This window comes from Homo sapiens, chromosome 10 (assembly GCF_000001405.40).
Source record: "Homo sapiens chromosome 10, GRCh38.p14 Primary Assembly".
Lineage (NCBI taxonomy): Eukaryota > Metazoa > Chordata > Mammalia > Primates > Hominidae > Homo > Homo sapiens.
The window spans coordinates 343,868-358,578 of record NC_000010.11 but is presented as its reverse complement, the minus strand read 5'-3'; the positions used below and the strand labels follow the sequence as shown (position 1 = coordinate 358,578).

Genomic DNA, 14,711 nt, shown 5'->3' with positions numbered 1-14,711 from the left:
CAGTTGGTAGTCATCTCATCGCTCATGGATAAGCGATGACTTTATGACAGCCCTTGGTTTATTCTTCCACACCTCACTGTGGGCCTGACAGAACCTAAGACCTTTTCAGTCAGTATAACATACCGAGAAGCGACTCTATCCTGTCCCGTCCACAGTATCACTCTCTGACTCCACCCCACGACATCTGTATGTGAAATGTCCACTGTCTGTTTGTCCACAGCCAGCTCTCAGGTGTGTGGACCCCAGAGAACTCGAACAGACGGGAGCCACAGGTCTCTGCAGTGAGACAAATCGTGGCTTTTAATTCTGTGTGTGTCTTCCGTTTTATTTTTTACAATCATGGCTGTGAGTGCCGGCACACGGGGCTCTCACATTAACTGGAAAGTCAGGCGTGGGCTTGGAGGGCCTCCAGGGAGCTTCAGGGATGATAAAAACATCGTTTCTGAAGAACCTGACCAAGGCTTGTTACACTCCCCCTTCACAATCATTTGATTTCGTTGAATCTCTGTTCTTAGAAGGTTTATTCAAAGCCAGGTCTTTCCAGAAGTTTTCCGAGAGTAAGGTCTTTACCAAAGTGGGAGGTCTAGTCTGAAGGAATTTCTCTTTTGTTTCCTCATGGCCATGTCTCTGTTTCTTTCTAGAAATCGGCCCTGCCTCTGTGATGGTGGGGAACCTGGTCTCTGGGAAGAGAATCGCCCAGGCCAGTGGCAGAGACCTGGGTCAGATCGAAGATAACGACCAGGCACGCAAGGTAGGAGCTGGGTCCCTGAGTCTCCCCGACCGTCCCCGACTTTTCCGACTGTCCCCGACCATCTGCGACCATCCCCGACAGTACCCGACTGTCCCCTACCTTCCCTGACAGTCCGCGACAGTGTCTGACTGTCCGCAACCGTCCCCGACAGTCCCCGACTTTCCCGACAGTCTCCGATGTCGCGCGCTGGTGGTGGACCACCACTGCAGATCTTCCTTTATTCTACCTGTCCTCTCCTGCAAGAGACCATATAATTTCATAAGAAAAATGTGTTTATAGGAGATACAAAGTTTCAGAAAATGTCACAGCGATGCAGAAATCGGTGAGGGGTGTCCAGTCCCACGACTCGCAGGACCGAGGCAAATGTCTGGCAGTCCTTGTCCCGCGCACGGTCCCCTGAACTACTCCTTTCTAGTTTCCCCACCAGCCCGGATTCAAAGCCCACCCTGCCCACAGCAGCTTGCAGCAAGGCTTCTGTCCTGTGCTCTGTGGACTCTAAGAAGCAGTTCAAAACCCAGGTTAGGGGGCCAGGCCTCCTAACAGTGGCGTTAGAAGCCGTGGGAGAAACTCCCGAGGCCCAGACTTTGCACATTGTGCCGTGTGCGTCCACGGTCCCCATTAGAACCGTTCGGCCTTCCTGTTTCCCACAGCCAAAAGTGTGCCCTTGTGTGTGGCCCATTAGGAAATGGGGCAAAATCAGCACCGTGAAATGTTGATGAAACGGATGAAACCTTATCTGTGGGTTTTTCTGTACCCTGATGTGAAATAAGGCTGCCCCTTTTACTGTGGACCAGCTCAGTAGCACACATGTGGTTTGTTTAATTTGTGGCTTCATGCCATCAGGGTATTGCCATTCTAGAAACCTAAATTTATTAGATCCCGCTTTTTAAAACCAGATAGATCTGATTCTCTCACTGTAGCCACCAAAATCCGCTTTGCATCTTCTGGAAGCCCCAGGAGAAGGGATTTCTGTGCAGGCTGCTCCTGCCTATGAGGGAAATGGTTCCCATCCTTGGGCAGACTTTCAGAAAACTTCTCACACCAGGGTGCAGCACCAGCCCTTTGCTTTGTGACCCTGACTCGGGTGCTGTGAACCTAAGTCCCTGCAGGAACAAAGCTGTGGGCACTTGCTTGTCCTGTGGTCGTGTGTGACGGGGATTTTCCCAGCATGCATGTCTTCAACTCCCTGCAGAGAAGCATGCGGTTTTAAGACCCAAAGCACTCAGCCTCTATGGGTTTGAGTATCCAGGTTGCCCCACCTCAGCCCGCACAGCCTGATCCAACCGCACAGCCTGATCCTCATGCCCGTGCTCTGTTCCAGTTCCTGTTCCTCTCAGAGGTCTTGCAGTGGAGAGCACAGACCACCCCGGACCACATCCTCTACACGCTGCTCAACTGTCGGGTGAGGCGCGGAGCTGGCCTTCCCTGGCTACTGGCCTCAAGGGGCCTAGCCTGGTTCCTGGGAGCGCTCCTGCTTCTTTCTTTGAATCCTTTTGCTTCAGTCTTATGGGAATTCTTTTTATGTTTTGCTATTTTGACTGAGACTTTTGTACCTAGGGATTGTTTTTAAACGTAACCATTTGTGCAGTTATTTACACCTATTTGTGTGTACAGATATTTTAGCAACCTATTTACAATATTTCTCCCCCAAAATGAGTAATGATATCTGCAAGAGAGAAATCGTAAGTCTATGAGATATTTGCATTTTTATTTTGATTACTAAACTAGTTTTTGTTTTGTTTTGTGTTTTGAGGCAGTCTCGCTCTGTTGCCCAGGCTAGAGTTCAGTGGCACGATCTCCGCTCACTGCAACCTCCACCTCCCTGGTTGAAGCAATTCTCGTGCATCAGCCTCCGGGTAGCTGGGACTACAAGTGCCCACCACCACATCTGGCTAATTTTTGTATTTTTAGTATTTAGAGATGGGGTTTCACCATGTTGGCGAGGATGGTCTTGAATTCCTGGCCTTGAGTGATCCACCTGCCTTGGCCTCCCAAAGTGCTGGGATTACAGGCGTGAGTCACCACACCGAGCCCTAAACCACTTTTTTATACACCAGAAGTTATGTTTATTGCAGACTCAGGAATGAAAATCATTTCCACTTTGTAATTAAATTTCCTGTTTACACTTTACATGAGAAAACTACACTCATCAAATATTGTTCCACCGTAGTACTTAAGAGTAAGGCATTAAATAAACAAGCTAATACTATTAACAAGAAAAATTAAATGCAAAAATCTTAATATGCTTGTTACTACTTTTTACCATGGAAATAAAGCTTGAAAAATGGAAGAAAAATGTAAGTCTTCTTGACAAGTATAGGTACTTGCAACTCTTCAAAAAGTCATGGCTGTTTAGAATTGCTGAGTATCAAAATCTTAGTGTGCGAAGCAGCAGATTGAAGACAAAAGGAAATGCCAGCAGCATCACGAAATTATTCCCCGACTCTCTGGTTTGAGTTTCAGTTATCAGACCATTCTCTGCACGTGGCTTAGTTCATAGGAACAACCTCTCCTCCTCCTCTGCCAGAGAAGCGCGTGTCGTCTTGACGTTGTCACGGATGCTGAGTTGATCCCAGCCATTGGTCGTTCACTGTATCTGCTCAAGACTGTTTCCCAGGAAGAGGCTTTAAAACCAGGAAGGCCCGTTTCTGCCACCACCTTCTGGCCCTCGTTCGCTGGTGCTGTGACGGAGCCCCTGCCCCACGCTGAGAGCTCAGGTGTGGGGGCCGGAGATCTTGAGGACTGGAGTTGCTGTGGGTCCCTGTATCTGAAATGCCCACCTTCCACTTTTCATCTTTCTCCACTGGACCCTTCCTCAGCCTGTGAATATGGATGATACCCCCTTTGCTAACCCGATCGCCAGGTTCGCCGGCCTTGGGTGCTGTCTTGATTTCCTGCCCATCTCTGCTTGTCTGACTTTGTCCTCTCCCAGTAGTGTTTCTCCTGTAAACTGCCTGTGACTTCTCGTTCCTCTTTCCCTGTGGTCTTGGCAGTTCTCTAGAGATTTCCAGTATCATCTCCAACGTGGTGACCTAAATCTGCAGCACTAACTCCAGCCTCCTTCGGCACCCCAGATCCCTTCTGCTGAAAGTGCTTCCTCCCTCCCCTAATTTCCTCACAGAGGTGGCTACCCCTCCGCAAGCTGCAAGCAGTCAGGGGCAGAGTCAGCTCTCAGTCTCCCTGAATCTCTGCCTTGATGTTGCCTGACACGCTGCTCCCATGTGTGGGGGTTGCACAAGCATGTGTCCAGTAATCTAGAGGTATTGATGGGCAGCTCAAGAAGTAGCAGACCCCCATATACGCAAAGATTCAGACATGATTTGGGTACGTTCATGGGCAACATGTACCATCAGGAGGAGGAAAATAGAGCTGTTCCAGCTGTGCCTGATTTGGGGAAGATCCCTCAGATTGCTGGGTGGTGCCATGGTCCTGGGCTTGGCATCTGGTCTATCTGGCCCTGTGGACAGCCCAGTGTCCCTGAACACCTGTGGTCACCTGCATAGCTGGATGCTGGATCTTCAGGGAAAATGTATTTCCCGGAAATGATTCCGGTTCTCTAAAAAGGGCTTTATTAGGATCAACTGCAAATCCGATGGGGGCCAGATGTAGGGATCAGAGCCATGAGTGATTTACCTTAGGACTGTGTGGAAGGCATGGCCTGAGGATGTCTTTTCCTTGGAGGTGTGAGCTGTTTCCAAGGCTCGCTGGACACAGAGGCAGGCACGCTTGAGCTATTGCTTGTGTTATTTTGCGCCAAGCATCAGATCAGGCATGGGTCCTTCGCTCCTCTGCTGCCTCGTATGCACACTGAAGAGATGCTGGGCCTGGACCAAGGTAGCAGCATCGTCCTCACGGCATTCATAGTGTCTTTCCCCACCTAAATCAGCTTCCCTGTTCAGCACCGTCCAGCGGAAACTCAGTACACGCCACATACAGAATCATGCATTTTCTAAAAGCAAGATTTTAAAAAGGAAGAAGAAACATGAAATTCGTTCCAGTGATGAATCACTCCACACACCATAAGTGTCCGTTCAGCACGTACACCAGCCCCCCAGCCGCTGCTTCCATCAAGGATGCACGTTTCTGCTGATGATGAATTTGGCCCGGTCTTGCTGGCCGTGTAGTCACAAGCTCATTTAAAGTGGTGGAGGCCAGGCACCATGGCTCACGCCTGCAATCCCAGCACTTTGGGTGGATCAGTTGAGGTCGGGAGTTTGAGACCAGCCTGGCCAACATGGTGAAACCCCGTCTCTACTAAAATACAAAAAAAAATAGCTGGGTGTTTTGGCACATGCCTGTAATCCCAGCTACTTGGGAGGCTGGAAGCACGAGAGTCGCTTGAACCCGGGAAGCAGAGGTTGCAGTGAGCCAAGATCATGCCACTGCACTCCAACCTGGGCAACAGAGCAAGACTCTATCTCGAAAAAAATTAAATGGTTGAACCAATGGGTTTGTAGCCAACTCTTTTGACCTTTTTTAACTTATACCTTCTTTAGAATTTTAAAATATAAATTTAGTTTGGCTTTTTCTTCTTGGGTTTTTTTTCCCCCAAGTTGTTTGATTTAATGTGAAACGTTAAAATGGTCCCAAGTTTACAGAAACTGACAGTGAATGTGTGTCCTTAGACAAGGGCAGACTCTTTGTGTTTCCCTGTGTGCCCCTCCGGTCATGCTGCCTCCCAGCACTTCTGTGGGGGAAAAGCCAGCCCTCATTTCTCTGATGAAATGGTTTTACCTAGAACCTTCTTCTTAGCTGGTGGGTTTCAGGACGGAAACCCCAGTGAATGTTGATGAGGATGCCAGAGAATGACGACTGTCACCTGCGGTGAATGGTTGTTGCTTTATGGGACACTCGCCGAGAATGCATCACATTCTTAACACGGAGTTCATGGGAAAATGGAAAGTGCAAGCAAAAGTTACTGGCATTTCTCCTGGGGTAGAGGCTGCATTAGGATTCCTGGGGAGCAAGGCTGAGGAACAGTGTCACGTGTGTGGAGTTGCCGTGTGGTGTAGCTGTGTCCCGTTCAACCACACGGGGTGGGGAAAGGTGGCAAGGAAGAAGGGACACTGCTCAGTCGCTGCAGGTGCCTGGGACTGCCAGCCTGCAACGTGAGCCAGGAGCGACTGTCCCTCCCAGCCAACGGTGGGGTCCAGTGTTCACTCACCTCGTCCTTTCCAGGCAAGAAAGGCGCCCACCTGGTGTGACCCATGGCCCTGCCTGGCCATGGAGCGAGGGGTGTCTGCTCATGTCCGACCGGCTGTGAAATCGTGTGCCTGTCTCCAGCACAGCACTATCTCAAGGGGCTTTTTAAGAACTTAATTTAAATCACCCTGTGAGCTGGCTTTGGGACCTAACACCTGAGAAGGGCACCGTCCTCGTGGAGCGTGCCTGGAAGCTTTGCTGTTTGTTTTTATGTCAGCCCTGAAAGACATCAACCAGCATTGAGAAAATTGTGTTTCACAGGGTTATCAAAGATAAAGGACAGCATGCATGTTACACTCATGCTTTGCAAGTACCTACAGGTGGGGATTTCTGTGCACCAGAATCAAAACATTTTCAAAGACACTCTTGGCTGCTGGCTGTGTCTCATCTGAGCCTCTCAAATCTCAGGACCCAGAATGTGGGCAAACCACAGGCTTTGTCATCTGACAGCAAAGCGGGTGTTTGATAGGAAATCAGCTTCAGCTCTCCAGAGATGGGGAAGAAACAGTTCCACAAGCCGAACAAACCAGACTGGGCACTGCTGCTGCAGGCAGGCCTGGCATGAGAATGGACTGTGGGGGTCGGGGCCTCCCTCAGCGGGGCGGGGGCTGAGCTGATTCTGCCAGGGCTCTTCTCTGAGACGCGTCCATGCTCACAGCGATGGGTGGTGTGCTGGTTTTCCTTGTTGGGAGACCTGCCCCTGGAGTCGGGGTGGACTTGAATGGGTCCCATCAGCACCCAGCCTGGCCGTGCTGGGTGTCTCTGTCCCATGTTCACTTGAAGAGCTCAGAGGACGTTGGCGGCAAGGAGCCGGTGGGCTGGTTGCTGTGAACAGGTGGCAAGGAGCCCCTCTAAGAGTAAATGCTCAGAGGAACAGTCCAGTTTCAAAGGCCCCCAAATCTGTCTTCTCAGCAGGATTTCCCGGACTCCAGCCCTGCGTTCCTTGTTGTCTCTGCCCATCTCTGCTGCCACCTGCTCTTGGGCTCTTCTACTTTAAATCAGTTTCTGTTTTCTAATTTTTTAGGTGTCCTCTAAGTGGGGAAATAATCAAGGAAAATGTGTGGGATGAGAAGGTTGAATTCAGAGAAATGTAAGCTAATCCTCTCCATGGAGGAGACCAGCCACAGGCGGCAGGAAGGGTCTGAAGACCCACCGGGCAGTGACGTGGGCCGCCTCCCCGCAGCCCTGGTCCTGGCCCTGGCGCAGAGGTCCTCAGGGAGAGTATACTTTCCCCACAGACCTCGCTGCGCTCATCGGCTGTCTTGTGGACGTTTTGGTAGAGGTCAGGGTCAGGTGTTCACATCTTGATGCTTCCTGAGACATTATCTTCCACTCACCGTGCCCCGCCATGTGTTTCTGACACGGGCCCTTCGAGCTGGGAGGCTGACGTGCTTTTCCCAGCATCGCCGATGAATAGCCCCAGATACTGTTCGTCCGTGCGGCGTCCTTTTGGTTGCACTAACTCGGCTACCCGCAAGCCCCTCTGGGCCTCTCTCCCTGCGCCTTCACTCTGAATCGCAGTGTCTGGTCCCCGACAGCCATCTCGGGCTCGCTGTGCACTCTGTCCCCAATCTCTGAATCACAGCGTCCGGTCCCGACAGCCTTGCCAGGCCCGCCGCGCGCTCCATCCCTACACTCATGCATTCATCTTTGTAGCTGTGACTCACATAAGAATTCCTGGGCTGGGCATGATGGCTCACACCTGTAATCCCAGCACTCTGGGAGGCCAAGGCGGGCGGATCATGAGGTCAGGAGTTCAAGACCATCCTGGCCAACATAGTGAAACCCCCATTTCTACTAAAAATACAAAAATTAGTTGGGCGTGTTGGTGTGCATCTGTAGTCCCAGCTGCCCAGGAGGCTGAGGCAGGAGAACGGGAGAATTGCTTGAATCCGGAAGGCGGAGGTTGCCGTGAGCTGAGATCGCGCCACTGCACTCCAGCCTGGCGACAGAGCGAGACCCCATCTCAAAAAAAAAAAAAAAAAAAAAAAAATTCCTGAGCCCGGGTGTTCAGTCACTCTTCGGCTCTGCAGTCTTCCTGACCCCATGGACTGCAGTCCAGTTGCCCACTGCTTGAGGGAAGATCCTCACCCTGTTAATAGCTGTGAGACAGAATCTGATCACAAAGAAGAGGTTGTTAAATGACTGTAGAAGCCGTCTTCACATCTGAGAGTGCTGCAAAGGAACTAGGACTGTAAAGTGTGTCCTCAGGAAAAGCTTGTTTCGGTTAGTTACGTGCTTATAATTTGTAATTTATTCACATTTGTCTTTATGGCTTAAATAGGCCAAGATGGGAAGATCACTTGAGGCCACGAGTTTGAGACCAGCTTGGGCAATGTAGGGAGACCCCATCTCTATGAGAGAATTTTTTTTTAAAATTAGCCAGTCATGATGGTGGCACCTGTAGTCCCAGCTACTTGGGGCTGAGGCAGCAGAATTGCTTGAGCCCAGCAGGTCCAGGCTGCAGTGAGCAGTGATCATGCCACTGCACTCCAGCCTGGGAGACAGAGACCCTGTCTCAAAAAACAGCGAATCCCACACTCTTGCGATGTTTCTTGGTATATATCTTGCAACTCACCTTCCCTCACAACCCTCGTGTAAGGTATTTTCCTGCACAAATATGTTTTCTATTTGTTTGTACATTAAAGTCTATGTGAAAATGCGTTTGATAGTTCTTTTCATTCCTGTAGGGTGTGTTTGTTTATTTTGCTTTTGTTTTTTGCTTTCTGACTTCCTTGATTTTTGATGTGGTCTTTCTAAATAAAATTTTTTAATTAGTCTTCCGATGTGCAGGTGTACTAGGAATTCCCACTGCCCACGACAATGACACAAGTCCCAGAATTGCCAGGGTTTTTTGTTCTACCGTTTTTTAATTCACGTAATCATTTTTTAAAATATTGCTTGTTACTCTAAATATATCTAGATGTTTCTTTGGTCTGCACTGCTTACCTAGTTGGAAGAAAATGGAGTTGACCTCTAACGTATATGTAGTTTTGGGGGAGGCTAAAAACGTTCTAAAATTGACTGTCATGTTGGTTGCACAGGTCTGTGCTTGTTCTAAAAACCAGTGATGTATGCTTTGCGCCAGTGAGTTGTATGACGCGTGCGCGCTCTCTGCAAGCTGCTCTGCTGAAGGAATCTTATGTGCTTGTCCCTGTGATCGGCCCGCAGGGTGCGATAGCGAACTCGCTGACCTGCGTGCAGCTGCACAAGAGAGCTGAGAAGATCGCCGTGATGCTGATGGAGAGGGGCCACCTTCAGGACGGCGACCACGTGGCCTTGGTCTACCCCCCAGGTACAGGCGCAGGGTGGGCTTCCCCTGAGAGATGGCAAGCCGGTCAGCCGCGGTGCGAGGAGGTCCCTTACACCCGCTGGTGCCTGAGCCGAGGGTCGCGTCATGGCTGGGAGTCTGCACTGTATCCAGCTGGATGCTAACCAGCCCGTTTGTGTCTGGCTACGACCACTCACAGGCACCAGCCGCATGTGCTACTGTGAGAGGCGTCAATAAAGTGATGCTTTCAATGACTTTTATATCCAAATTTGTGTTATTAGATACCTCAGGTAATTCACTTAATAGTACCTAAATCTTGACTAAATTCACAGTTACAAAGGTGGGTAATTCCTTAGCAAAATGATGTAGACATTAAACCTCCAGGCTGCCTCGTCACCTCATGTCTGAAAGGACAGGTAAATGACAGTGACCGCCAAAGCTGACAAAACCCGCCAGGATGACGGAGGCTGTGAGAAGCTCAGCTGCTCGTTTCCCTGTTGAACTTGCCCCAGACAAGCATTGATGCTGACAGGGAGAGTGTGCACTCAGCAGCGTGGTCTGCTTCAATGATGATGTTTCTCTCCTTGTGTAGGAATAGACCTGATAGCAGCGTTTTATGGTTGCCTGTACGCAGGCTGTGTGCCAATAACCGTCCGTCCCCCGCACCCACAGAACATCGCGACGACGTTGCCTACCGTCAAGATGATTGTGGAGGTAACATGCCTGGGAATGTCGGGGCCTCCACCTGCCTGGAGCTGAGTGTGGAGCTTGCAACGCGCAGACTCTGACATCTCTTGGGGCAGCTGCTGGCTGTGGAAGCCGGGGTGTGTCTGGAGTCAAACGGTCAGGACAGGGTCTCTACCTGCAGGGAGCCTAGAGTCTAGGTCTAGAAGCGAGATGTAAACGTGTGTGGAGGCAGAGGCTGGATGGTAGCCTCTGCAGGGTCTTCCCTGGAGAAAACGGCTCCCAAGAGAGGGCATCACCACCATTCCTCGGGCTTCCTCACGAACCCAGCTGAGCAGACCGACCACGGGAAGAGGCAGGGCTTTTTCCAAAGCCCTCTCCTCAAGATGTGGAAGTTTCCTGCTCCTTTTTGAAAGTATAGATCTGTTTTCCTTCGTCTACAGCTGGAGGAGTTTGAGAGGATTCAGCTATATTTTCCTCGTTGAAGGAGGAAGTACAGGGGAGAACAGTGTGGGCAGAGAATGCACCTGTCCTACCCACACCTGAGTCCCTTTTGGCATGGTCCTGGAGACCTGCACAGTGGCCACTCCTAGAAAGTGTGGCGACGCGTCTGGGTGCGTGTGGGGTTTCCAGGAGAGCTATGCGCGACGCGTCTGGGGTTTCCGGGAGAGCTATGCGCGACGCATCTGGGTGTGTGTGACGTTTCCAGGAGAGCTATGCGCGACGCGTCTGGGTGAGTGTGGGGTTTCCGGGAGAGCTATGCGCGACGCGTCTGGGTGCGTGTGGGGTTTCCGGGAGAGCTATGCGCGACGCGTCTGGGTGCGTGTGGGGTTTCCAGGAGAGCTATGCGCGATGTGTCTGGGTGAGTGTGGGGTTTCCGGGAGAACTATGCGCGATGTGTCTGGGTTGGGTGTATGTAGGGTTTCCGGGAGAACTATGCGCGATGTGTCTGGGTTGGGTGCGTGTGGGGTTTCCGGGAGAGCTATGCGCGATGTGTCTGGGTGAGTGTGGGGTTTCCGGGAGAACTATGCGCGATGTGTCTGGGTTGGGTGTATGTAGGGTTTCCGGGAGAACTATGCGCGATGTGTCTGGGTGCGTGTGGGGTTTCCGGGAGAGCTATGCGCGATGTGTCTGGGTTGGGTGCGTGTGGGGTTTCCGGGAGAACTATGCGCAATGTGTCCGGGTGAGTGTGGGGTTTCCGGGAGAACTATGCGCGATGTGTCTGGGTGCGTGTGACGTTTCCGGGAGAACTATGCGCGATGTGTCCGGGTGCGTGTGACGTTTCCGGGAGAACTATGCGCGATGTGTCTGGGTTGGGTGTGTGTGACGTTTCCGGGAGAACTATACGCGATATGTCTGGGTTGGGTGAGTGTGGGGTTCCCGGGAGAACTATGCGTGATGTGTCTGGGTTGGGTGCGTGTGGGGTTTCCGGGAGAACTATGCACGATGTGTCTGGGTTGGGTGCGTGTGGGGTTTCCGGGAGAACTATGCGCGATGTGTCCGGGTGAGTGTGGGGTTTCCGGGAGAACTATGCGCGATGTGTCCGGGTGAGTGTGGGGTTTCCGGGAGAACTATGCGCGATGTGTCCGGGTGAGTGTGGGGTTTCCGGGAGAACTATGCGCGATGTGTCCGGGTGCGTGTGACGTTTCCGGGAGAACTACGCGCGATGTGTCCGGGTGCGTGTGACGTTTCCGGGAGAACTACGCGCGATGTGTCCGGGTGCGTGTGACGTTTCCGGGAGAACTACGCGCGATGTGTCCGGGTGCGTGTGACGTTTCCGGGAGAACTACGCGTGATGTGTCTGGGTGCGTGTGACGTTTCCGGGAGAACTACGCGCGATGTGTCCGGGTGCGTGTGACGTTTCCGGGAGAACTACGCGCGATGTGTCCGGGTGCGTGTGACGTTTCCGGGAGAACTATGCGTGATGTGTCTGGGTGTGTGTGACGTTTCCGGGAGAACTATGCGCGGTGTGTCTGGGTTGGGTGTGTGTGACGTTTCCGGGAGAACTATACGCGATATGTCTGGGTTGGGTGAGTGTGGGGTTCCCGGGAGAACTATGCGCGGTGTGTCTGGGTTGGGTGAGTGTGGGGTTTCCAGGAGAACTATGCGCGATGTGTCTGGGTTGGGTGAGTGTGGGGTTTCCGGGAGAACTATGCGCGATGTGTCTGGGTGCGTGTGGGGTTTCCGGGAGAACTATGCGCGATGTGTCTGGGTTGGGTGTGTGTGACGTTTCCGGGAGAACTATACGCGATATGTCTGGGTTGGGTGTGTGTGACGTTTCCGGGAGAACTATACGCGATATGTCTGGGTTGGGTGAGTGTGGGGTTTCCGGGAGAACTATGCGCGATGTGTCTGGGTGTGTGTGACGTTTCCGGGAGAACTATGCGCGATGTGTCTGGGTTGGGTGTGTGTGACGTTTCCAGGAGAACTATACGCGATATGTCTGGGTTGGGTGAGTGTGGGGTTCCCGGGAGAACTATGCGCGGTGTGTCTGGGTTGGGTGAGTGTGGGGTTCCTGGGAGAACTATGCGCGGTGTGTCTGGGTGAGTGTGACGTTTCCGGGAGAACTATACGTGATGTGTCTGGGTTGGGTGTATGTAGGGTTCCCGGGAGAACTATGCGCGATGTGTCTGGGTTGGGTGAGTGTGGGGTTTCCGGGAGAACTATGCGTGGTGTGTCTGGGTGAGTGTGACGTTTCCGGGAGAACTATACGTGATGTGTCTGGGTTGGGTGTATGTAGGGTTCCCGGGAGAACTATGCGCGATGTGTCTGGGTTGGGTGAGTGTGGGGTTTCCGGGAGAACTATGCGCGGTGTGTCTGGGTGAGTGTGACGTTTCCGGGAGAACTATACGTGATGTGTCTGGGTTGGGTGTATGTAGGGTTCCCGGGAGAACTATGCGCGATGTGTCTGGGTTGGGTGAGTGTGGGGTTTCCGGGAGAACTATGCGCGGTGTGTCTGGGTGAGTGTGACGTTTCCGGGAGAACTATACGTGATGTGTCTGGGTTGGGTGTATGTAGGGTTCCCGGGAGAACTATGCGCGATGTGTCTGGGTTGGGTGAGTGTGGGGTTTCCGGGAGAACTATGCGCAGTGTGTCTGGGTTGGGGGTGTGGGGGGTTTCCGGGAGAACTATGCGCGGTGTGTCTGGGATGGGTGTTTGTGGGGTTTCCGGGAGAACTGTGCGCGATGTGCCTGGGTGTGTGTGACGTTTCCGGGAGAACTGTGCGCGATGTGTCTGGGTGTGTGTGTGTGGGGTTTCCAGGAGAACAGATCTAATGGTGTGAGCAGTGAGCTCTTTTCTGCACATGTCACAACGCTGTGGATGCACTGGGCCCAGGAAGTGCAGATGCAGCAGCTTCAGGCCGCATGCCCTGCCCCCGTGCCTCCACAACTAGACTCCTAGCTCTGTCCTACCTTAGCCAGCAGGAGGGCTCGGTAACCTCATCTGCCCGTTAAAGCTACATGGTTTTAGTGTATGTAGTAAGCAGGAGACCCGTGTGAAGTGAGCACGCTTTCATCTGGGTCCACGTTCATGGCTCCATTCTCGCTCTCTGATGCCAGGTGAGTCGCTCTGCCTGTCTGATGACGACACAGCTGATCTGTAAGTTGCTGCGGTCCAGGGAGGCGGCGGCGGCTGTGGACGTCAGGACGTGGCCCCTCATCCTGGACACAGGTTGGTGCTTTAGCTGCAGAAGGTGGTTTGCTCACGGCCTTGCTCAGGCTGGATCTGCTGATAGTCATGTTCCTCTCCAGATGATTTGCCAAAGAAGCGGCCTGCCCAGATCTGCAAACCTTGCAACCCAGACACTCTTGCATATCTCGACTTCAGCGTGTCCACAACTGGGATGCTAGCTGGCGTAAAGGTGAGGGGGGTGGCTGCGGGCGGTGGCCATGGAGGCAACTGCGGAGCGTGCTGGAGGTGGCAGGTCACGTGCTGGCTCTCAGCGCCTCTCGTGTAGTCAGACTGAGATGTGGAAAGAGGTATACATACGTGTTTCATTCACGGTATGACACGTATGACCATTTCCATCCTTAACCAGGCTGACTGATTCTGTCCAAATGCCCCAAGTATGTTTTTATGTGAACACTGTCTCAGCTGACAGTAGAACACTGCGAATGTTTTTCTCTTGCTGGTTCTCAAATCCGAACGCTCTGTGATAAATTTCTGCACACTGCACTTTCTAGCGTTTTAACCTGGGCTCTATTAGAAATCATCATGACCCTCTCAGCTCAGATGCCGCCCTTGCCGAGGTGCCGTGCAAACCCCCCCCCGCCCCGCCCCCGCCCCACCCTTGGGGACTTCGCAGCCTTGTGTGCCGTCTGCCCCCATCTGTGGGTCTGACGGGTGAGCTGGCTTTACCTCGCACAGTTCTCACGCTCTGTCCACCTCTTAGTAGAACTGAGGTGGAATACCAAAGTAGCTACAATATGAAATAAAATAATTTTTCAAAAGCTTTTGAAAAGAAATGTTTTCAGATCAAGATGATTTACTTACTGTGGTCTGAAGTTAGCTGTGACCCTCCCACTGTCATAGCCAGAAGAGAAGCAGCTGCTTCCAGTCATACCGTTTCATGGCCCGCTTATAGTCTCAGCGTCTGACGTAGAGTAGACCATCAGAACGTTCCTGGCTGCTTTTCTTTAAGTGGTGTCAATTCCTGTTTCTCTGCTGAAGTCCCGCAAAGGCCCCGCTGGCTTTGTGACCCACAGCCAGGGTGTTGGGAGCAGCCTCTCTTACACCCCATACACGGTTGTCCATGCCCTCGTCTGTGAATTCCCACTGGATCCTGAGGGCAGGGCTGTGTCT

General features: G+C 52.2%; 1 protein-coding gene across 9 annotated transcripts in view, besides 1 other annotated feature; it reads left to right on the top strand.

Annotated features, from left to right (window-relative positions):
- DIP2C (disco interacting protein 2 homolog C) overlaps nt 1-14,711 on the top strand; it is a 415,468-nt gene that overhangs the window by 331,090 nt on the left and 69,667 nt on the right. For all 9 annotated transcript variants that reach the window (NM_014974.3, XM_005252427.5, XM_005252426.4 and 6 more), the window contains 6 exons: nt 642-751; nt 2,073-2,153; nt 9,125-9,248; nt 9,817-9,938; nt 13,469-13,580; nt 13,661-13,770. In NM_014974.3, the coding sequence (NP_055789.1) occupies nt 642-751; nt 2,073-2,153; nt 9,125-9,248; nt 9,817-9,938; nt 13,469-13,580; nt 13,661-13,770 (659 nt within the window). The remainder of the gene's footprint in view (nt 1-641; nt 752-2,072; nt 2,154-9,124; nt 9,249-9,816; nt 9,939-13,468; nt 13,581-13,660; nt 13,771-14,711) is intronic.
- Nucleotides 12,796-13,995: an enhancer, noted in NCBI's record as "BRD4-independent group 4 enhancer chr10:390524-391723 (GRCh37/hg19 assembly coordinates)". NCBI's record gives its function as "activates an origin of replication core promoter dependent on BRD2, P300/CBP, MED14 and CDK7 cofactors, and independent of BRD4, by STARR-seq in HCT116 cells {active_cell/tissue: HCT116}" and the evidence as "EXISTENCE:reporter gene assay evidence [ECO:0000049][PMID:35650434]".